Raw genomic sequence first — 21,381 nt, forward strand, 5'->3', positions numbered from 1 at the left:
GTCTTGCTCTTGTCTCCCAGGCTGGAGTGCAATGGCACGATCTCAGCTTACTGCAACCTCCACCTCCTGGGTTCAAGCGATTCTCCTGCGTCAGCCTCCCAAGTAGCTGGGATTACAGGCCCACGCCCGGCTAATTTTTGTATTTTTAGTAGAGATGGGGTTTCGCCATGTTGGCCGGGCTGGTCTTGAACTCCTGACCTCATGATCTGCCGGTCTCAGCCTCCCAAAGTGCTGGGATTACAGGTGTGAGCCACCGTGCCCAGACTGTAGTTTACTTTTAATGATGCACTTAAACAAATTGAATTCCTTTATTTTTTGAAAAAGGAAGCTTTATCTCACTACTGTAAATGGAGAGTCACTATGAGTTAACGAAACCAGCAGGTCGCTGTAAAATGAAGACAGTGGAAGGAAACTATTACTAAGTGTGCCTGGCGTGGTTGCCTGCCCTGGGTTCCGATTGATACCCACTCTTGTTGTTCAAAAGAGAGATGAGTGCTGCTTCTTTTTGGCCCCGGCCTGTGGCAAGTATCTCAGTCTTCATACTGCTGGGAAGCTCTGTAACCACCAGCAAGACCAGAAGTGGGGTGATCAGCAGTGCAGGAAAGCCCATTTGGGTGCAGTCCCCGCACCTAGCCCTTTTGGAAGTGCTTCTCCAAAAGGGAATTGTGCCGGAAAAGTAGGGATTGAAACCAAACAGCCACATCCTGCCATCAGGATGCTCTTTATGGCCCCACTGACCAAGAAATCACAGCTTCTGTACTCAGTGATGACTGCTTGACTTCAGTTGAGGACAACAATGAAGTTCTGTAGCCAGGCGTGGTGGCAGATGTCTGTAATCCCAGCTACTCGGGAGGCTGAGGCAAGAGAATTGCTTAAACCCCGGGAGGTGGAGGTTGCAGTGAGCCGAGATGGCGACACTGCACTCCAGCCTGGGTGCCAGAGCGAGACTCTTTGTCTCAAAAAAAAAAAAAAAAAAAAAGAAAAGAAAAGAAAAGAAAAAAAAAGCTAAAATAAAAATTTCGGGGAAAAAAATTTAGGGATAAAACCTTGGTGAAGTTCTGATTGCTGGATTTGGTCACAAAGATCATGCTGTTGGTGACATCCCTGGGGTCCGAGTTAAGGTTCTCAGAGTAGTCAGTGTAGCTCTCCCTTGGTCCTATGCAAAGGCAAGAAGGAAAGACCAAGATAATACATTTTGATGGTGAAAACACAGTAGAAATATATTTTTATAAGCCAAAGGCAAAGAGATGTGTCAGCGAGTCACATTAGGTGTTGAGGCTATCCTGTTACTGAACTGATGGTAATGGAGAGGACTGAGGATGAGAAAAGAAGCCACTCCTGTGACTTGCTGGGATCTAACGCCACATCGCTTCCCAGCACCTATGATTCTGTCTCTGTGTGGGTGGCACCGTGGTGTAGATGGACAAGACTTGACTCTGGCTGTGAGGCACAGCTACTGTAAAGAACACTGCGTTTTGATTTATGGGCATTTTTTTTTTTTAAAGGACAGCAGCCCCGAGATCATGCCTGCGAGCCTTTGTAGGCACCGTAAGTAGGGCTGCAGGCATCCCTGTGTGCCCTGGCAGGTGTCTGACATTCTGTTTCCCAAGAGTTCCTGCGGCCGGGGCTGAGGTCCCAGCATCTCAGATAAACACGGTTTGCTTTGTCAGCTGCGTCTCAGGTCCACATAGAGCATGGTGTCTGGGCCTTCCTCAGCCGCTTTCTGTCTTTGAGGAAGTCACTGGCCTTGCCTGTGCATTTTCAGTGATGACATACATGCCCTTAAACATGCTCGAGTTAGGCCAGTGACAGAGGCGTAGATTGTTTTTCTTGTTTTGACTCAGACAATTTTTTAGAAACTATATCATTTTATTATTTGGCATTTTGAGCAAGTTTGGGACATATCCAGAGCTTATACCTTGAATCTCTGAAGAAAAAAATGTCACCATGTCTGCATTTGAGCCTTGATACTTGGTAGAAACGTGGTCTGTGGTTAGGATTGTGTGTGGGTGGCTGGGACAAGGGGCTTCTGTCTTCTGCGGTGCCTGTACCTTTAGGAGTCTTCAAGGACAGTGCTGTTGTCTACCCTGGATGTCATCCAGCACAGATGAGGGGTCAGGAATCCTAGAAATTTTGAGCGAAGGGTGGTTTTCACTTGTGTTTTCCCACCCTGCCATCACCTCCTGTGTCACATGCAAGAGGAGTAAGAAGAGTGGGTCTGTCTGGGTGTCCGGGGTATTTGCTTGGGCTACCATAACAAGGGGCCACAGATAGGGTGGCTTCAACAACAAAAACTTATTTTCTCGGCCGGGCACGGTGGCTCATGCCTGTAATCCTAGCACTTTGGGAGGCCGAGGTGGGGGGAATCACTTGAGGTCAGGAGTTCAAAACCAGCCTGGCCAACATGGTGAAACCCTGTCTCTACTAAAAATACAAAAAATTAGCATGGTGTGGTGGCTGGCACCTGTAATCTCGGCTACTCGGGATGCAGAGGCAGGAGAATCGCTTGAACCTGGGAGGCAAAGGCTGCAGTGAGCTGAGATTGCACCACTGCACTCCAGCCTGGGCGACAGAGCAAGACTATGTCTCAAAAAAAAAAAAAACCCCTCAAAACTTATTTTCTTACAGTTCTGGAGGCTGAAAGACCAAGATCAAGGTGCCAGCAGGGTTGATTTCTGGTAAGGCCTCTTTCCTTGGCTTGCAGACAGCCACCTTCTCTCTGTCCTTATGTGGCCTTTCCTCTGCAGGCACATCCTGGTGTCCCTTATCTCTTCTTATAAGGGCACCGGTCCTGTGGGATCAGAGCCCCATGCTTATGACCTTATTAACTTTGATTACCTCATTAAGGCCTTGTCTCCATATAAACTCCGATTGGGAGTTAGGTCTTCCACTGGTTCATTAGGGAAGGGATGCAATTCAGTCCATAGCATGAGTTGTCCCAGGAGTGAGTGTCGCAAATGCCGTCCCAGTTCAGATGGAGCATCCCATTGCTGCATGTGAAGCACCTGAGATTCTCCTCTAGAGCAGTCACTGGACTCTTGGAAACCCCAGAGGAGCTTGGCAAAGAAACTCATCAGCTCTGCCCCACAAAGCAGCGAATGCTTCACTCACATCCCGCCAAGTGGCTTCCCTGGCTTCGTGTAATAATCTGTGGAGGTGGCTGCCTCTGTACTGTAATTGAGCTAGAGCTAGGTAATTTAATCCTCAGTGCCTGCGGATAATTGTGAAGTCTTCTATCGAGCAACCTTTCCCTCTCAGGTATCTCTGAAATTGCAAAGGGTGTTTTGTCCTGAGGCATTCAGAGGGACTGTATTCTTGTGGTTATTTACTACTGAAGAGAAGATGGTGTATCCAGACCCACATGATTGTTCTCCTACTGCAAGGCCCTCTGGTACTTCAGAAAATACAAAAGCCTGTTATGAAAAAGTTAATTTTTTTTTTTTTTTGAGACGGAGTGTTGCTCTTATCGCCCAGGCTGGAGTGCAGTGGCACGATCTCGGGTCACTGAAACCTCCGCCTCCCGGATTCAGGCTATTCTCCTGCCTCAGCCTCATGAGTAGCTGGGATTACAGATGCCCGCCACCACACCCAGCTAATTTTTGTACTTTTAGTAGAGGCAGGGTTTCACCATGTTGGCCAGGCTGGTCTCGAACTCCTGACCTTGTGATCCGCCCACCTCGGCTTTCCAAAGTGAAAAAGTTAATTATTTAGCAAAGCAGTAAAGACAGTTTGGAGCAAACTAAAACACCCATAATTCTGCCTCAGGGATGCCTTGCATTTCTGCAGGTAGGTTCCCAGTTCTTGTTTCGGGCACACGGAGCTGTACCTGGGGTTGGAGTTGCAGCTGTGCCTGTTGCTCTCGGGAGGCCATGTGCCCTCAGGGCCGGGAGGGCACACTCGGAAGCTCAGCTGCCTGGGCTCAGGTTCCAGCTGAGTGGCCCCAGCCCCCTCAGTACCGTGTCCTTATCAAGATAGAGTGACAGGATCAACACCCAAATCATGGGCGGCCATGAAGATAACTGTGATGTGCTTAGAACAGCATCAGGATCAGAGTTAAGAGTCAATAAATAGGCCGGGTGCAGTGGCGCACACCTGTAATCCCAGCACTTTGGGAGGCCAAGGTGGGCAGATCACTTGAGGGCAGGAGTTTGAGACTAGCCAGGCCAACATAGTGAGACTCTGTCTCTATAAAAAATAAAAAAAATTACCTGGATATGGTGGTGCGTACCTGTATTCCCAGCTAATTGGGAGGCTGAGGCAGGAGGATTCTTTGAGCCCAGGAGGTCAAGGCTGCAGTGAGTTATGATTACACCACTGCACTCCAGCCTGGGTGACAGGGCTAGACCCGTCTCAAAAAGAAAAAGAAAAAAAAAAGAAATCCCCAGGGCAGTGAGTGTCTTCTGTCCCCTCTGGGCCCTTTCCCCTTGTCTGAAGTCACCCGCATGGCCAGTGGCTTTGCTTTTCTGCCTCCTCTTCTGTCAGCTCTTACCACCAGTTCCTGACAAACCCTCAAAGCAAACTTCTGGAATGCTATGGGCTTGTTAAGAACACAGCAGGTCCGAGGAGAGTGGCATTTGATTTGTTTTGGAGGCCCCATATTCCTTCTCCACTCTTCTTCCCTTTCCTTTTGGACGGCGTCTCGCTCTGTTGGCCAGGCTGGAATGCACTGGTGTAATCTCGGCTCACTGCAACCTCCGCCTCCCAGGTTCAAGTGATTCTACTGCCTCTGCCTTCGGAGTAGCTGGGATTAAAGGCACGCGCCACCACACCCAGCTAATTTTTGTATTTTTAGTAGAGGTGGGGTTTTGCCATGTTGGCTAGGCTGGTCTCAAACTCCTGACTTCAGGTGATCCTCCTGCCTCGGCCTCCCAAAGTGGTGGGATTATAGGCGTGAGCCACCGTGCCCAGCCCCCACCCTACTTCTCTAATAAAATGTGTCTGTTTATTATTCTAGTTCTGACTAGAATAATAATCTATCAAAATAGAAGCTAGTAAAAGTAACAGTATATTCTGGTAAAACTGACTGTATGCCATGTATGGTGCTGAAGCATTTTTATTTATGTTTTCTCATTGAATCCCCCAGCAGCCTTCTGAGGTGTAGGTTATATTATTCTCTTTTGTATAAGAAAATGAGGCTTAGGAGGGTAAGTACCTGCCCAAGGCCTCATGGCTAGTAGAACAGATAGTTACTGAGCACCTACTGTGTGCCAGACATGGTGTCTAGCTATAGTAAGTGGTGAATCTGTGAGAGACCCAGGTGTTCTTACTCCAAAACCTACACTCTTGCCAATTCTTTTTTTTTTTTTTTTTTTTGAGATGGAGTCTCGCTCTGGCTGGAGGGCAGTGGCGTGATCTCGGCTCAGTGCAAGCTCCGCCTCCCGGGCTCACGCCATTCTCCTGCCTCAGCCTCCCAAGTAGCTGGGACTACAGGCGCCCGCCACCACGCCTGGCTAATTTTTTGTAATTTTTAGTAGAGACGGGATTTCACTGTGTTAGCCAGGATGGTCTCAATCTCCTTTCCTTGTGATCTGCCCGCCTCGGCGTCTCAAAGTGTTGGGATTACAGGCGTGAGCCACCGCGCCTGGCCACGCTCTTGCCAATTCTACATTACCTAAGGAGACACGTTTCATTGTCACCAGCCAGGGCAAGCAGCAGTGGACTAGTCATATGTAGGCATCCAGGTCTGAGAGCCTTAAGCTTATCATTACTATTTTTGGAGGCAGGGTCTCTGTTGCCCAGGCTGGAGTGCAGTGGTGCATTCCTGGCTTACTGCAGCCTTGAACTCCTGGGCTTAAGCGATCCTCCTGCCTCAGCTTCCCAAGTAGCTGGGACTGAAGGTGCATGCCACCCCGCCCGGCTGTGTTTTAATGCTTATTTTGTAGAGATGGGAGTCTTGCTATGTTGCCTAGGCTGGTCTTGAACTCCTGGTCTCAGATAATCCTCCCGCCTCAGCCTCTCAAAGTGCGGGGGTTACGACATGACCTACTATGCCTGGCCAAACACCAAATTTTAAAATGAAGAAAAATTTTCTTTTTACCAGTTTAATTTAACTATTGTCATTTTTAAAAAACTTAATTTGCGGCAACAATGTTTCAATAAAATTTTGGATTAAATAGTCCCATGGGTCCCAATCTGGGGGACCAGGAGGTACAAATAGAAGATGCGGGTGAGAGAGAAACATTGTGAACCAGAGTAATGGAGGCTGACACAGATGCAGAGCAGTTGGGTCTTTCTGGAATAGCACGTGTCTCTGCCTTTGGCTGCGATATTTCAGCTCTGTTATTGGCAGGCTTTAATAACAAGCAGGGTAACCATCATAACACTTAAAACTGATAGACAAATGTGGTTCATGAGTGTGGAATGAGAGGCATTCTTGGTGGTAAGTAATGATTACGGGGCCGGGCATGGTGGCTCATGTCTGTAATCTCAGCACTGTGGGAGGCTGAGGTGGGTAGATCACCTGAGGTCAAGAGTTTGAGACCAGCCTGGCCAACATAGTGAAACCCATCTCTACTAAACATACAGAAAACAATTAGCTGGGTATGGTGGTGGGTGCCTGTAATCCCAGCTACTCAGGAGGCTGAGGCAGGAGAATCGCTTGGAGGCAGGCGAATCGCTTGAACCCAGGAGGCGGAGGTTGCAATGAGCCGAGATCGTGCCACTGCACTCCAGCCTGGGCAACAGAGTGAGACTCTATCTCAAAATAAACAGATTAATAAAGTAAATAAAAATTAGCTGGTCATGGTGGCACATGTCTGTGGACTCAGCTTCTTGGGAGAATGAGGCAGGAGGATTGCTTGAGCCCAGGAGTTCGAGGCTGCATTGAGCAGTGATCATGACACTGTACCCCAGCCTGGGCAACAGAGCAAGACCTGCCTCTTAAACATTTAAGGTAATGATTAGTACTCATTAGATGGTAAAGCAGCCGTCATTATGCGAGATGCCTCTCTGAAGTTATCCTGGGCTTTACAGCAACCCAGAAGGTACAGGCATTACTGGTCCATTGTACAGATGAGAAAGTCACTGAGGCAGAGGCCAAATACAGTGCTCAGAGTCACACAGCCAAACTTCTGGGGCTGCAGCTTCCATATCCAGCTGTATCCTCTTTCCCTCTTCCTCCTGGTTGACGTGGCTGGGAAGCAGCAGTGTTTTGTGTTCGATAGGCTAAGCTGGCAACCTGATTCCTGCTGGTGGAGCTGCTGCCGCCTCTGCAATACGCTTTTGAAGGAGGACCTGTTGGGCAGTGGGTCCTCATGGCTAGACCCTGTGCAGGGGGCCATGGTCCTTTGGGGGGTATGAGCACTGCCCTGTCTCGTTCTGGCTTTGCTTGTGTCTCTAGGCTAGGCTGCATGACTGGGAAGGATGGGTGCTCTCCACACAGGTCCTGCCGTGGGTGTCTGAGGCTGCAGGGCACCAGCTCAGTCTCTGCAGCAGGCCTCACAGTGTCACTGTTTGGGCCAGGCAGAAAGCTAGAGAGAGACAGGAGAGGCAGGAACAGATCTGGTCAGCTGATCCAGCACCTGCAGAAGGCTGCAGCGGGACCGGCTCTGCGGGGTCAGAGCAGGGGCGGGTGTTGGGTGGGTGTTTTCATGTTGCTAGGGGGAGGTGCCACGTTGCCAGGTGTCCCTTGTAAGCTCTGCAGGGTGCTTTTAGGACATGGGTGCTGACTTGTGCTGTTTGACAGACATAGACTCTGTTCCCACTTGTTCTTATACTTAGAAAGGATTTTTAGCTATCCCTCCCCAGCCCTCATTTATATGGGAAGGCTTGGCTCAGGGAGCGTAAGGACATTGTGGTCATGCTATGTGAAAATGGCAGAGGAATGGCGTTTCGAGTGTTGACAGGAGTGCTTTTCTTTTTGAAGAAAAAAGAGAGATTTCTTTCTTTGTATTTTCTTCTGTTCTTTTACTGTTTGCTGGATCCCTTTTTCCATTCAAACACAATTTATGGCCGGGGCAGTGGCGCACGCCTGTAATCCCAGCACTTTGGGAGGCTGAGGTGGGAAGATGGCTCGAATGCAGGAGTTCAAGACCAGCCTGGGCAACATAGCAAGACCCTTCCTCTACAAATAAAAACATTTAAAAATTGGCCAGGTGCAGTGGCCCATGCCTATAATCCCAGCACTTTGGGAGGCTGAGGCGGGCGGATTACTCTTGAGGTCAGGAGTTCGAGACCAGCCTGGCCAACACAGCGAAACCCCATCTCTACTGACAGTACAAAAATTAGCTGGGCATAGTGGTGGGCACCTGTGGTCCCAGGTACTAGGGGGCTGAGGCAGAGAATTGCTTAAACCTGGGAGGCAGAGGCTACAGTGAGCCAAGATCATACCACTGCATTACAGCCTAGGAGGCAGAGTGAGACTTTGTCTCAAAAAGAAAGAAAGAAAGAGAGGAGAGAGAGAGAGAGAGAAAAGAGAGAGAGAGAGAGAAAAGAGAAAGAGAAAGAAAGAAAGAAAGAAAAAGTGTGTGGTGGTGGCACCTGGCATCTGCCTGTAGTTCCAGCTACTTGGGAGGCTGAGGTGGGAAGATTGTTCGAGCCTAGGAGGTCGAGGCTTTAGTGAATAATGATTATGACCCTGCACTCCAGCCTGGGTGACAGAGCAAGACCGTCTCAAAAAATAAAATAAAAAAATTAAAAAAACCCAATAGAAAAAAACCTGCAACTATTTCTGCCCAGTGTCCATAGTATAATATGATCGCCACACTGCTACTCTTGGTTTATATACTGATGAACAAGAAGCAAAGGTCCTGCCCTCAGAAGCTGTCAGAACTGTGGGGAAGACAAGCAGCAAGCATTAGAAAGGCAAAGCCTATGCCCTGTTTTAAGGCATGTTTCAGGAAAGGGCTTCTCTCAGATGTCAGCGGGGCTGAGGTCTCAGGATGGGGGGTTTGGCCTGTTTTGGTGGCGGGTGGTACCGCTGGCATTGCGCTGCCAGAAGTGAGGGGGAGAGTGAGTTGGAGGATGCTGGAGAGGGTGGCTCGTGTAGATTTTATCCCACGTACAATGGGAAGCCAGTGGAGGACTTGAAGCAGGGGCGATAGGATTTACTCACTTCCTCTTGCGAAGAGCAGGCTCTGAAGCCTGCTTGCCACGCAGAGCACACTCAGCAGTGCGTTCCTTCCGTCCTTCACTGCTCCTTCCCTCCGCCCTCCCTTGTACAGGCAGTGCTGAGGGCTCCCCTGTGTCTCGGGGTAGGGAGTCCTGAGTTGACTTAGCGGCCATACTCTCAGGCTGCTGACAGTCCTGTCACTGCCCTAAGCACGGTGCCCTAACACCCGTGAGTCATAGAGCTGTGCTAGGTGCAGCAGGAGAGACGCGTCCCAGCGGGGAGTTCTGGAGCCAGGATGCGGGGTGGGGCGGTGCGCGGGCCGGTATCAGAGTCCTGGCTTCCAGCCTCAGCTCCACCACTTCCTAACTAGATTTCTCTTTCTTTTTTCCTTAAAGACTCTCTGGTCCCCTGTCCTCATTTGTGAAATGAGGACATTCTCACCGGCGTCTCAGGGGTGTTCTGAGGTCCAAACGTACTAGCTTAGTAAGGCATTAGACTTGAGTGTGGAACCGGGCATCCTTTGTGATTGGAGCCTTCTCAGCTACCTGGAAGCTTTTACGGTGGGGAGCGGCGGGGCTCTAGTTCTTCCGGGTTAGGACTTTGCGCAGGAATGCAGAGGCAGTGGGAGGGAATGGGGGTAAATGTTCCGTGCCGCCTCACGCGGTTATTGATGGTAGGTGGTGGCGTTGCTCCAGGGAGGCCAGTTCCTCTTGAAGTCACATCTGGAGACCCCCTTGGGACCAATTTTTAAGCCCATTTGGTAGCTCCCCAAGGGTTCAAGTGCCAGCTCCAAACCCTAGTCCCGGGGTTTAGGGTTTGAATTCTAGGATGCTGCCTGGTTTCCCATTTCCATCCTGGTTTCTCTCCAGATGGCCTCTGCCAGTCTTCACATATCAAATCCATCCGTAAGTTCATTCCTATTTCTGGGGCAATTCTAGATTTTCCTTCAAAGAGTGCCTGGAAGGCCAGGTATGGAGGCTCACACCTGTAATCCCAGCACTTTGGGAGGCTGAAGCAGGCAGATCAATCACCTGAGGCCAGGAGTTCAAGACCAGCCTGGCCAACATGGTGAAACCCTGTCTCTACTAAAAATACAAAAATTAGCCAGGTGTGGTGGTGCATGCCTGTAATCCCAGCTACTCGAGAGGCTGAGGCAGGAGAATCACTTGAACCCAGGAAGTGGAGGTCGCAGTGAGACAAGATCACACCACTGCACTCCAGCGTGGGCGACAGAGTGAGACTTCATCTCAAAAAAAAAAAAAAAAAAAAAAAAGAAAGAAAAAGAAAAAAGAGCGCCTGGAAAATAGTAATAATACAAATACTTTCTTATTCATTTTACCTACCATAAACCAGGCTTTACCTTCACTAATGCTTAATCTTCATAGCATCCGTGTAAAATAGGAGTGCTAGACTTGTTCTGTAGTTGAAGAAACTGAGAGGCTTTGCTGAAGGTCATACTGCTATTGGGTGGTGGAGGCAGGGTTCACACCCGCTCCCCCTCCTTGCCGTTCCTGGAGACCCACAAGCTTGTGTAATGCCCCACCTTCAGAGAAAAGCACCCAGGTCTCAGGATGTCCCCTTTGCTATAGACTGAATGTTTGTGTGCCCCTAAAATTCCTAGGTTGGAATCCTAACCCCCAGTGTGATGGTGTTAGGAGGTGGGCGTTTGGGAGTTGATTAGGTCATGAGGCTGGAGCCCTCATGAGTGGGATTAGTGCCCTTAAAAAAGGGACCCCAGAGGTTGGGTATCATGGCTTATGCCTGCAATCCCAGCACTTTGGGAGGCTGAGGCAGGAGGATTGCTTGATCCCAGAACTCGAGACCAGCCTGAGTAGCACAGATAGACCCTGTCTCTACACACACACAAAAATTAGACTTGGTGGTGCGTGCCTGTTGTCCCAGCTACTTGGAAGTGAGCCCACTTTGAGGTGAGCCCAGGAGTTTGAGGCTGCGGTGAGCCAAGATCATGCTACTGCACTCCAGCCTGGGCAACAGAGCAAGATCCTTCTCAAAAAAAAAAAAAAAAAAGGGACCCCAGAGACCTTGTTTACCCTTTCTGCCATGTAATGATGACACAGCAAGAAGGCGCCATCAGTGAACCAAGAAGAGGACCCTCACCAGATCCCGAATCTGTCGGTGCCTTGATCTTGGACTTCCAGCTGCCAGAACTGTGAGAAAATCAGTCCCTGTCGTTCACAGTGCACCGGGTCCATGGTGTTTTGTTTTCGCAGCCCTACTCGGCGGAGGTGCTCCTGCAAGAGGCCCTCTTTCCCTGGCCGTCCATCTAGAAGAGCGCAGCACAGGCAATCTCATCCCATCCCCCCAAGTGCAGCACTTCCCTGGCTGCTGACTTCAGGTTTCAGAGCCCCCTGTAACCTCACTCCCCTCTTTAGTTTCTTTCCTGTAGCCCCCACTGGGATACAAGCTCCCTGAGTAGACACACTTTGTCTGCTAGTTAATTGCCATTTTCCTCCTCCCCCAAATCCTGCCTGACAAGTAGTTGTTCAAGAGACATTTAAAGAAGGAAGGAAGGAAGGAAGGAACAAAGGAACTAATGTTTATTTTAGTTCTAACAAGCATGGAGAGTTAAAAGTGCATTCTGCAGGAATGAATTGAAACCGAGTTCCCAGAGGGCGGGCTCCAGTCTGTTATAATCACCATTGTGTCTCTATCTCGGGATGCAGTAAAGGCCTGGTAATATGAGTTGCTCAAGGGAGTGGATTTTCACCTTTTTTCCTCTTGTGTCAGGGAGATGCAGCTGGTTGTAGTGGAATGATGCATTACAAACTATTTGCTCTCAGTGAATGGGAACACTTGGTTTTGATCCTGGCTCTGAGAGTAGTAGGTCGCTTGACCTCTCTGTGCCTCAGTTTCGCAAGCTATGAAGTGGAGGAGGCTTCCCTCAAGGATTCTTTGTGGTGCTGACCATCTGTTCTGGGAAAGGAGCCAGAATATCCACATTCTCATTTGCGGTGATTAAAGAACCACTCTGCTGAAGTTTCTCATGACTTGCCTGACCTCGTTAGTTTCTTTGATACCAAAGACAGGTGTCTTCCTTTCCCCCTTGCCTACTGTCTCCTTTACACATGTGGTGACATTCAGGTGAATTTGAATGGCTTTTGGCTAGGCAAGCCAGTATCAGTAAACACACTGGCTTGGACATTTGGCCCATAACTTTTTATACCCGAGGCCAGGTGTTGGCCGATGTGGGAAGAGGGCTGGAAAGAGGCAGAATGGTATTTGTGTGAGTGCCAGACCCCTGTGGACTGTTTTGCTGAGATGCTGTCTTATGGAGTTTGTAGAGGTGAATCAACAACTGTCTTTGTGAAAGGCAAATGTCACCTTCAGGTTTTAATTCTGAGTGGCCAGCAGCCCTTACATTGCCACTGTATATCATCAGAGCCACTAGAATATTAGATATGTAAATCCTTTCTGCACTTTACACATCCTTTAGTTTTGTAGGGCCCTGATGTCAGTGATCACGGCAAGTTGAGAAGCAATGTGTTGGGATGGAAAGAACATGGGTCAGGCAGACCACAGCACTGCTGTTCAAGAGCTGTGTGGCTACGTGCAGTGGTTCCTGGCTGTAATCCCAACACTTTGGGAGGACAAGGCAGGAGGATTGCTTGAGGCCAGGAGTTCAAAACCAGCCTGGGCAACATAGTGAGACCCCCTCTCTTTACAAAAGAAGAAGACAGAAAAGCCAGACATGGTGGCACGTGCCTGTAATCCCAGCTACTCGGAAGGTTGAGGCAGGAGGATCTCTTGAACCCAGGAGTTGTAGGCTACTGTGAGCCTTGATCGCACCACAGCCTGGGTGACAGAGTGAGACCGTGTCTTAAAGAGAAAGATCTATGTGACCCCGGGCAAATGCTTTAATTTCTCTGAACTCGTTTTCCCAGTCCTTGAAATGGTGGTAATATTATCCCCTTGGTGGATTCCTGGGAGTTATATGAAGTGTCTGTTGTATCTGGGAACCTCATTGGAGGCTCATAGATAGTTTTAGAGATTTCAGATACCTCTTGCAATTGTGTGCAAAATCGTGCTTGTGTGTTTGTGCACATACGTGGATTTTCCTGGGGAGAAGTTCCTTTGCTTTCACGACTCTCCTTCAGAGTGTTCCAGGCTTTAGAAAAAAGTAAGAAACACGAAACACTTCAGGTAGTTAGCAGGTGGTAATTGCACATAGTGTCTGGGGCAACACTGGCAATCGTGGTATCATTATTTTTGTTTTTACTGTTCTGCTTGCTGATGTTAAACCAGCTACACTGGCTGTGTTCTTACGCACATCCCTACATGTATTAGCAGTGGGAACCTGGGCAAGTTATTTAAGCTAACTGTGCCTCAGCGTTCTCGTCTATAAAATGGGGCTATCATAGTACCCCTCTGACACAGTTGTGAGGATTAAATGAACTAACAGATGGAAGATACTCAGAAGATACACTATGTAAATTACCACCTGAGCTATCGAAGGGTGTTATATGCTATGTAAATTATACCTTGATAAGAAAAATTGGAAAAAAAATCCAAGAGAGTATCTGGCATCTTAAAGACTGAATAACTGGTAGGTGTGATCATTAACAACACCCTCAAAGGGTACGTTGCTGACGAATCTTCCTGAAAACAACATCTGGGCCTTATTGTTGAACTGCAAATAGGTTGACCTGATTTTCCATCTTACTGAAACCATCCCTCCTGCAGAGGCCCTGAAGTTCCCTTTAGCTGGTATCTACCCCTCAATCCTCCCTCTGGTTAAGAGGACATAAACCAGGCTACTCTTTCTATGAGGCCTGAAAATTGGAAGTGATCACGCAGGATGGTGGTTCTTAGCTGGGGGTGATTGCAACCCCCAGGGGACATTTAGCCATGTCTGGGACATATATGGTTGTCACACCTGGGATGAGGGTCCTTCCGGCATCTGCTAAGTAGAGCCCAGGGATGCTGCTGAACGTCCTGTGGTGGACAGGACAGGTCCTCCCAACAGGACAGCTCCTCCCAACACAGCATTATCTAGTCCCAAACGACAGTACTTGAGAAACCCCAAGACAGAAGGAAGCAGCAGGGCCGTTTTCCAGGAACCGTATTTTGTCTTAGGCTTTTTTTTTAAAACCTCTCGCCTCCTGCATAGGTCAAGGAATGAAACTTAGGAAAAAATGAGCCTAAAGAAAATGATAGATCCCAGGGAGCATTTGTTTGTGTGTGTGCGCATGCATGTGTGTGTGTATGTTTGGGAGCTTTTTCGTGCCATCACTCCTGCAATGAAGATGATGATTTAGGAAGGCAGTAGATGCATAATGATACAGACCTGTGGAATGCACCAGACTAAGTGATCCTGACTCCGTAGCTGCGGAAGTACCGTCACTGCTGCGGAAACCAGCTCACTGGTACTACTTTACTAGATCTTAATCAAAATTCATTCAGTTGATATTTGTTGGTGTTTACAACAGCCTTGTCTCCCTTCACCTCCTTTTTAACAACAAAGTTTCTACTCTTGAGTTAATTTCGTTTGAATATATGGTTATTTGGGAGCTGGAGGTTGCAAGAAAGCGGCTCAGGCTTTATTCCTGCCAATTTCAGGAAGAGCCACATTGGAGCCACCAGGGGGCGCCCTAGTCTTTTCTCTGCCGCTTTCCTTCCGCAGCTGCGGGTGGTGGTTATCTGAATTTTTCATGTCCAGCGCGGTACCCCTTTCAGTGGTGAGGTCGCGAGTGGTGGTGGTGTTGAGAGCAGTGGTCTTTTCTAGTTGAAAAACATCAAGCATGCATGCAGCTTTCTGTTCACCATCAGTATAGCACAGTCATGCATTGCCAGTCACTTTGTGGTCCTGTTCTAAAAGGGAATTTGCAGCTCATCAGAAAACATTTCCCCTGTGTCATTGCTTTTCATGAGATATAATTGATTAGCTGTGGGTATTCAGCTTTTGAATCCCGATTGTTGCCTTCTTGCCCCTTTTTTTGGGGCTGGGGAGTGAAGGTGATAGAGTCAGGTGAGCCCAGACCATCCGGCCCATTTGTTTCCTTTTAATTTGTTAGAGCTTTTGATTGTGAGCCAGGGCAGAGAGGGCAAGAAAAACATCCTTACTTGTCAATAGGCTGTGTTGAGGGGGTCCTTTTTTTTCCTCTTGGCTATTATTGGAAGAGATTCTCAACGCTAGTGAGGCGTTCTGGCTCATCGCCTAGCAACACAATTCCAAACATTCGGCAGCTCCAGAAATGAAGTTGAGGAGTGCTGTAGTAACATCAGAGAGAGATGCGAGGCCCCGCAGCCAGCTGCTTGCTTGGCTAAGGGCTTCATGATAAAATTTTAGGATGAGATGGTGGGGCAGTGGCCGTTAAATCGGCTGCAGTCTGAGCCCCCTGCCCCTTAACTGCCGAGAAGTGAACCTAGGTGACGTGGCCAACACAGATCCCTCACGCTGGGCATCTTTCTTTAAAGGGGAAACTTCCCACTGAATTTTGTGTATTAGCCCTTCAGTGACTGTCTTAGTGTCTTAGTAATTGGAAGGTTCCAGATGGCATTTAGACATGCCTCACTTCTTTATCATCTGTTTATTCATTCACCAAACATTTACCAAACATCTCTCATGTGCTGGGCGCAGTTCTAGGTGCTGAGGAGCCAGAGGTGGGGATCCAGCTTGGCCATGCACAAGCTCTGTGTCACATGTTAAAATTTCCCCATCATTATAATGCAGATTTAAGAGTGCCAGCACCATGGGCTGTTGTGAGGACTAAATGAGTTCATACACAGAGAGTGCTTTGACATTGCGCTCAGCACTCAGGAGATGTTAGCTCTTCTCACATGGGCCCTGCCCACAGAGCATTCTAGTGGAGTTTTATGGTAATAAAGAAATGATGAATGATTGGATGGGGCAAAACGGGAGGCAATGGGGTCATGTGGGAGTGATGTACTCTTTGTTATCTGTGGCACTGAACAACCGCCACTCGATCCACCCATGGGAACGAGTTCCCCGTGAAGTGGGAAATTCCTAATGGAAGTTTTAGGTTATGCAGTACAGCTCCCAACTCCTTACCTGGAAAAAGACCAGTGCTGGATGCTGGTCACTCATATAGACCCTGGATTCCTTGCTCCCAGGAGGGGAAGGAGGAACCGATGACAGCAGGATGAATGTAGCAAGGATAGGGTGGCTGAGGTCCAGAGGGTCACAGGAGGGAAAGGTTAAGGGCTCGGTGCAGGGGAGGTCAGGAGGTCTTGCACAGATGGGGATGCTGGGCCAGAAGGGAACCTCCCTGCAGTGTGCAAAGGGGGCTGACAGTGATCTTCCAGGCTGCACCTCTGGTTCCGTCACTAAGCACTGCAGGATGTCGGGATGGGCTTGAGGAGCTGTTGTCGCCATTATGAAGCCCTTGAGGAAGCATTGGTGATGGTGCTGCCGAGTACTGAGTCTGTCCTTGTCACCCGTTAACTCACGCATGTCTGCGATCCTGTGAGAGCTTGCGGTGATCCCCATTTCACAGAGGAGACGGGAGTGCTTAGCGGTAGATAAACCTAGCCAGCATCACACAGCCAGTGGCCGGTGGAGCTGGGTTGCACAGCTAGGCTCTTACTCCGGGAAGAATATGTTTTAGCTTCACCTGGAGACCCTGCACCAAGCCAGAGGGCATTTTGAAGGGGCTGTATTTCAGGCCGACTTCCCGCATCTGGCTGGTTGTTCCCTGCCTCACCAGGCTCTCACTTGTCTGTGGTTAATGATCCAGGCTGCAGTGAGTACACAAGGTCTCAGTATCATTTCTGTGCTCTTGGTTTGGGCCACACATGATTTTTTTTTTTGGTCTTTTTTAGCATTTGTTCATTTTATTTGAGGTCTGCTGCATTCCTCCTGACCTCCCTAACAGCTCAGACTCTTAATTTGTTTACAGACTTTCAGGAAGGGCTGTCCCTGAACTCTAAGCTAGGATCAACTTTTGGTCTGGAGGTTTCTAGCCGGCTATCTCAGCTGGGCCAGGCAGCAGCTTATGTAACCGTTTGATGCAATTCAGAGCCAATCCAAAATGGGCCTCTCGCTCAGGGGATGAGACGCGGTCAGACTTGTTTGAAATGTCAGCTTTGTTTGAGCTGGGACAGCTCAGTTTGTAAAGTTGGAAGGCGGGGGTGGTGGGGAGGCAGCTGGGTGTGAGTTTATTGGGAAGGAGTAGCCTGACTGGGCTGCTTCATTAAAGTTGGGGGAGCTGCACCGCCCTGGAGGAGAGCACCCCAGGCTCCTGCAGTCCCACATGAAGGGCTCACGTCCTGGCTTTGCCATTTACTTTGTCCGTTTCCTTATTTCCAAAAGGAGGTGAATAGCACTTGCCATGTGCAGTGCCCGCACACGCTGGGCCCAGAGGACGCTCAGTACGTGGCCGGGGTGCTTACGTTTTGGTTGCAGCCCAGCAGTTCTAACCCTTCCCCTGCCCCCTCCTTCAACTCCTTTTCCTCCTCCTCTTCTCCCTCCTGCCCTAGACCTTAAATATTAATGTTAAAAATTTGTATTTAAATTTTTGTTTTGCATAAGTATATATTTACATGGAACAAAACTCAAAAGGTACGTATGGGATACCGTAAAGGATTTCTCTTCCACTCCCACATCAGCCACCTTGCTCCCCGTCCAGGACTCTAACCATTGGAGTTCACCTTCTGGAAGAACGTCGCTGCCCAGTTGAATAGGGGGTTGGGCATACTGGAGCTCCCACTTGCAGTGGCCACCGCGTGCCCTTTGATGGGACGTTACATTGCATTTCAGCAGCACCCAGCTGCTTCCAGGTGTCTGTACACACCGTCGGTTTCATGTGCGCAGACGATTCAGTTTCATGCGCGCCCGATTCAGTTTCATGCTCTTCCGTCTGCCGGGACACCCTCCCCTCTCCTCCTCTTTTGCCTGGGTCGTGCTTATTCATCCTGTAAGACACAGCTTAGGCGTCACCTCCTCCAGACAGACAGACACGTGAAGATCAAGAGGCTAGCTTTGTCATCAGTAAAGCTGGTTGGAAAACAGAGCTTTGAACCTGTGGGAAGGTGGGCTTACAAAACCTCGTCCCTGAGTCTAACAGTCAGAGGTAGAGACCCCCCTCAGGGCAGTTCCTGAGCACACCTTGTGGGGAGGTGAACAGGTGGGTGGGCTCTGAGAGAACCCACAGGAGCTGAGCTGAGGAAGAGCGCCTCCTGTCTGGCCCAAGTGGGCCAGGTCACTCCCTGCATTGTGGGAGCAGAGAGTACGGGACAGAAAGAGTGAGGGTGGGAACTGGGGAGTGGGGACCTACTTCATGTGAAAATGGGAGGTCAGAGAACTGGTGGCTCCCCTCCAGCACAGAGCACTTCATGAGGAAAGAGACACTTAGGTTTCAGGCTGTTGTTAGATACATGGCTGTGGCTGGTGACTTTGCTGAGGTTCTGTTTTCTCTTCTGCAGAATGGGACTAATTACCTGTCTTTCACATGTTTGCTGTGAACATTGGCTAAAATAAAGTAGGTAGAGAGTGGTGTCTGAGTCTGCGAGGTGGTCAGCTCAGCACTAAACCCAGGGCCCTTGGTTCCGTTTTCTTGTACTGCCCTTCTCCCTGATTCTTCTCGAACCTCCCATCTCCTCTTCCACTGAAGGAAGGAAGAGGCACCGTGATTTTTGAATGGGGTTGTGTAGCTCGTAGGGGAGTTGGGTATGTGTGAGGAAGGGCCAGTGAGTTGGTGCTGCATTGTTCCTGGGTAGTTAGGTGACAGCTGGCAGCTCAGTATTTAGTGACCTAAACAGGGAGGCTCCAGGGACAGGAGCAGATGCAGCCTGTCTGAGGGCGGCTCTGCCCTTGGCTCTTGGGTCCCCCACAGCGTTCTGGCCCGGACTCCCGGTGAGGGTGGAGTCCTGTCGGCCTCCAGAAGGAAGCCCAGTTCTGACCATGCCCTCTACCCTTTTGTATTCAGACTCCCACCAGCATCTGGGAGGACTTGCACCAGCCTGCTGTGCCCTTTTGATTCGTGGAGTGTGGATCCCTGGGCTGAGGGACGGAGCAGAATGCCTATTGTGCCTATGTTCCTGGGGTGCTAGCCCACCTCCCTCTGTGGTGCAGTGCCCTCATGACTGCCTGGCTCTGAGATGGAAGGACCCTAAATGCAAATCCATCTCTGGAGTGGCACTCTCCTGTGAGCGCTAGGCATGATGAACCCGGGATGATGGTACTTGATCAGTGTGCAGGCACTGTGCTCAGTACTGGACATGGATTTCCCCTGTCTAGTCCTTGCAGCGACCCCATGCAGCGGCTACTGTTATCGCCTCTCTCTCATTGAGCAGAATCAAGGCTCAGCGATGGAGGAACTTGTCCAGCATAGGGAGTCCTTGGTGGGAGAGCATGGGACTTCAAAGCCCACCTCTTAAACTGTGAGCCCAATACCTTCTGGCTTTTCATCCTTCAGTCATTCATTCACCAAATGTTTACAAAGGCCTGCTGTGTGTCAGGTGCTGTGCTGGCTCTAGGCAGGGTGTCTCCACTGCGGCACTGTCGACCTTTGGATTGGATCATCCTTGGCTGTCCTGTGCATTGTAGGAAATTTTGCGGTGTCTCTGGCCTCTACGCACTAGTTGCTGGTAGCACCACCACCAGTTGTGACAGGCAAGTGTCTGTGGACAGTGCCCAGCGTCCTCCAGGGGAGCGGGGTAGGTAAAACTGCCCTTGGTTGAAACCCGCTGCTCTAGGAATCCATAAGCAGAAGAGACATGTCAGGTGGGGCTCTGTCCTCTACGGTAAAGTAAAGATGGACAAGAGGAAGGACGGTGCATGCTGGAGGGGCTGCTGTGTCCAGATCGGGCTGTCTGCAGAGGCCTGTCTGACAAGGTGACTTTTGAGTAGGGGCCTGAATAAAGTGAGGAAGAGATCATGGGGATGTGGAAGGAAGAGTGTGCTTGGCAGAGGGAACGGCCAGGACAGAGGCCCTGGGTGGGGGTGCTGGGTGTGGCTGGGGCAGGAGGAGATGAGGCAGAGAAGTTGGGGATGGGGTGGGTGGGGTGGCCTCAGCTTTCACCCTGAGTGAGTAGGGGTGCTGCTGGGGGCATTAGAGCAGAGGTGGTGAGACAGGTCATCTGGCCCCTGGGTGGACTGGGGGACAGCAGGGAGGGCAGCTGGCAGGTGGGGGTCACAATGTAGGCAGCAGATGCTGGCCACCTGGGGGAGGGCTGGGGACTTTTTGATTAGGAGGATGACCTTTGGGTTTTCTCCACATTGAAACGATCAGTGCAACACCTGCCCACGGTGAAAACACCCATCCATGGCCCATCTCTTCTCAATTCCCAGGACGAAGAGTGCCACGAAGAGTGCCTCTCCAGTCTTTCAGCTGTTACTTCATTGGAGGGACACTCTTCTTCTACCACCATTTCTTGAATTGGCACGTTTTAGACATTACCAGTTTCCTGCTGGAATAGGTAGAGGTTGTGCGTGCGCATCCTGAGCATCCTGCTGGGCTGAAGGGAGCAGCCTATTTTGTTCTCTCCTTTCTCAGGGCTCTGCATTATTTTCTTCTTCATCTGGGTGTCCTAATGTACCTTTGTGGCCCCCCCCAACTTTTTTTTTTTTTTTGCCTTGCAGAACCTTTAGCATCTCTCTCATTCTGTTCTTCCTCCTACTAAATGGTTGACCCCCAATTTTATTTTTTTTTTTTTTTGAGACAGAGACTCGCTCTGTTGCCCAGGCTGGAGTACAGTGGCGTGATCTTGGCTCACTGCAACCTCCACCTCCCGGGTTCAAGCGATTTTCCTGCCTCAGCCTCCTGGGTAGCTGGGATTACAGGCATGCACCACCATGCCTGGCCAATTTTTGTATTTTTACTAGAGACAGAGTTTCACCATGTTGGCCAGGCTGATCTTGAACTCCTGACCTCAAGTGATCTGCCTGCCTTGGCTTCCCAAAGTGCTGGGATTGCTGGCACGAGTCGCTGTGCCTGGCCTGACCCCCAGTTTTAATCATCTTATGTTGGCAGCTGTAGTTTTAGTCATAGCTGTCTCTTGGTAATAATGAAAAAGGAAAGTATCTTTTTAATTTAAATATACTTTAAGTTCTGGGATCCATGTGCAGAATGTGCATGCTTATTACATAGGTATACTTGTGCCACGGTTTTTTGCTGCACCCATCAGCCCGTCATCTACATTAGGTATTTCTCCTAATGTTCTCCCTCCCCTAGCCCCCTACCCTCAGACAGGCCCCAGTGTGTGATGTTCCCCTCCCTGTGTCCATGTGTTCTCATTGTTCAACTCCCACCTATGAGTGAGAACATGCGGTGTTTGGTCTTTTGTCCTTGTGATAATTTGCTGAGAATGATGGTTTCCAGCTTCATCCATGTCCCTGCAAAGAACACGAACTC

The 21,381-nt window shown here is 49.6% G+C and overlaps 1 protein-coding gene, 1 long non-coding RNA gene and 1 pseudogene across 23 annotated transcripts in view, besides 5 other annotated features; 2 read left to right on the top strand and 1 right to left on the bottom strand.

Moving 5' to 3' along the window:
- The window catches only part of SNX29 (sorting nexin 29), a 597,554-nt gene that overhangs the window by 103,983 nt on the left and 472,190 nt on the right, over positions 1 to 21,381 (top strand). The gene's annotated exons all lie outside the window — the stretch shown is intronic.
- RPS23P6 (ribosomal protein S23 pseudogene 6) lies at positions 521 to 816 on the top strand (annotated as a pseudogene).
- Positions 6,995 to 9,224, bottom strand: LOC642696 (uncharacterized). The gene is made up of 2 exons (XR_109256.5): positions 9,053 to 9,224; positions 6,995 to 7,469 (listed from the first exon to the last, which is right to left on the bottom strand). It is a non-coding gene; the product is annotated as an uncharacterized LOC642696 (long non-coding RNA).
- Positions 7,397 to 7,466: an enhancer, noted in NCBI's record as "active region_10465". NCBI's record gives its function as "activates an Ori minimal core promoter by ATAC-STARR-seq in GM12878 lymphoblastoid cells {active_cell/tissue: GM12878}" and the evidence as "EXISTENCE:reporter gene assay evidence [ECO:0000049][PMID:35858748]".
- Positions 9,143 to 9,192: a silencer, noted in NCBI's record as "silent region_7217". NCBI's record gives its function as "represses an Ori minimal core promoter by ATAC-STARR-seq in GM12878 lymphoblastoid cells {active_cell/tissue: GM12878}" and the evidence as "EXISTENCE:reporter gene assay evidence [ECO:0000049][PMID:35858748]".
- Positions 15,974 to 16,907: an enhancer, noted in NCBI's record as "H3K4me1 hESC enhancer chr16:12190547-12191480 (GRCh37/hg19 assembly coordinates)". NCBI's record gives its function as "activates a minimal SCP1, AML or CMV promoter by ChIP-STARR-seq in primed H9 embryonic stem cells {active_cell/tissue: H9 hESC(primed)}" and the evidence as "EXISTENCE:reporter gene assay evidence [ECO:0000049][PMID:30033119]".
- Positions 15,974 to 17,130: a biological region, named in NCBI's record as "Sharpr-MPRA regulatory region 9869".
- Positions 16,836 to 17,130: an enhancer, noted in NCBI's record as "tiled region #9869; HepG2 Activating DNase matched - State 1:Tss, and K562 Activating DNase unmatched - State 8:EnhW". NCBI's record gives its function as "activates a minimal TATA promoter and a strong SV40 promoter by Sharpr-MPRA in HepG2 cells, with weak activation in K562 cells {active_cell/tissue: HepG2 | K562}" and the evidence as "EXISTENCE:reporter gene assay evidence [ECO:0000049][PMID:27701403]".

The sequence above is a fragment of the Homo sapiens genome, chromosome 16 (assembly GCF_000001405.40).
Source record: "Homo sapiens chromosome 16, GRCh38.p14 Primary Assembly".
NCBI classification, from domain to species: Eukaryota; Metazoa; Chordata; class Mammalia; order Primates; family Hominidae; genus Homo; species Homo sapiens.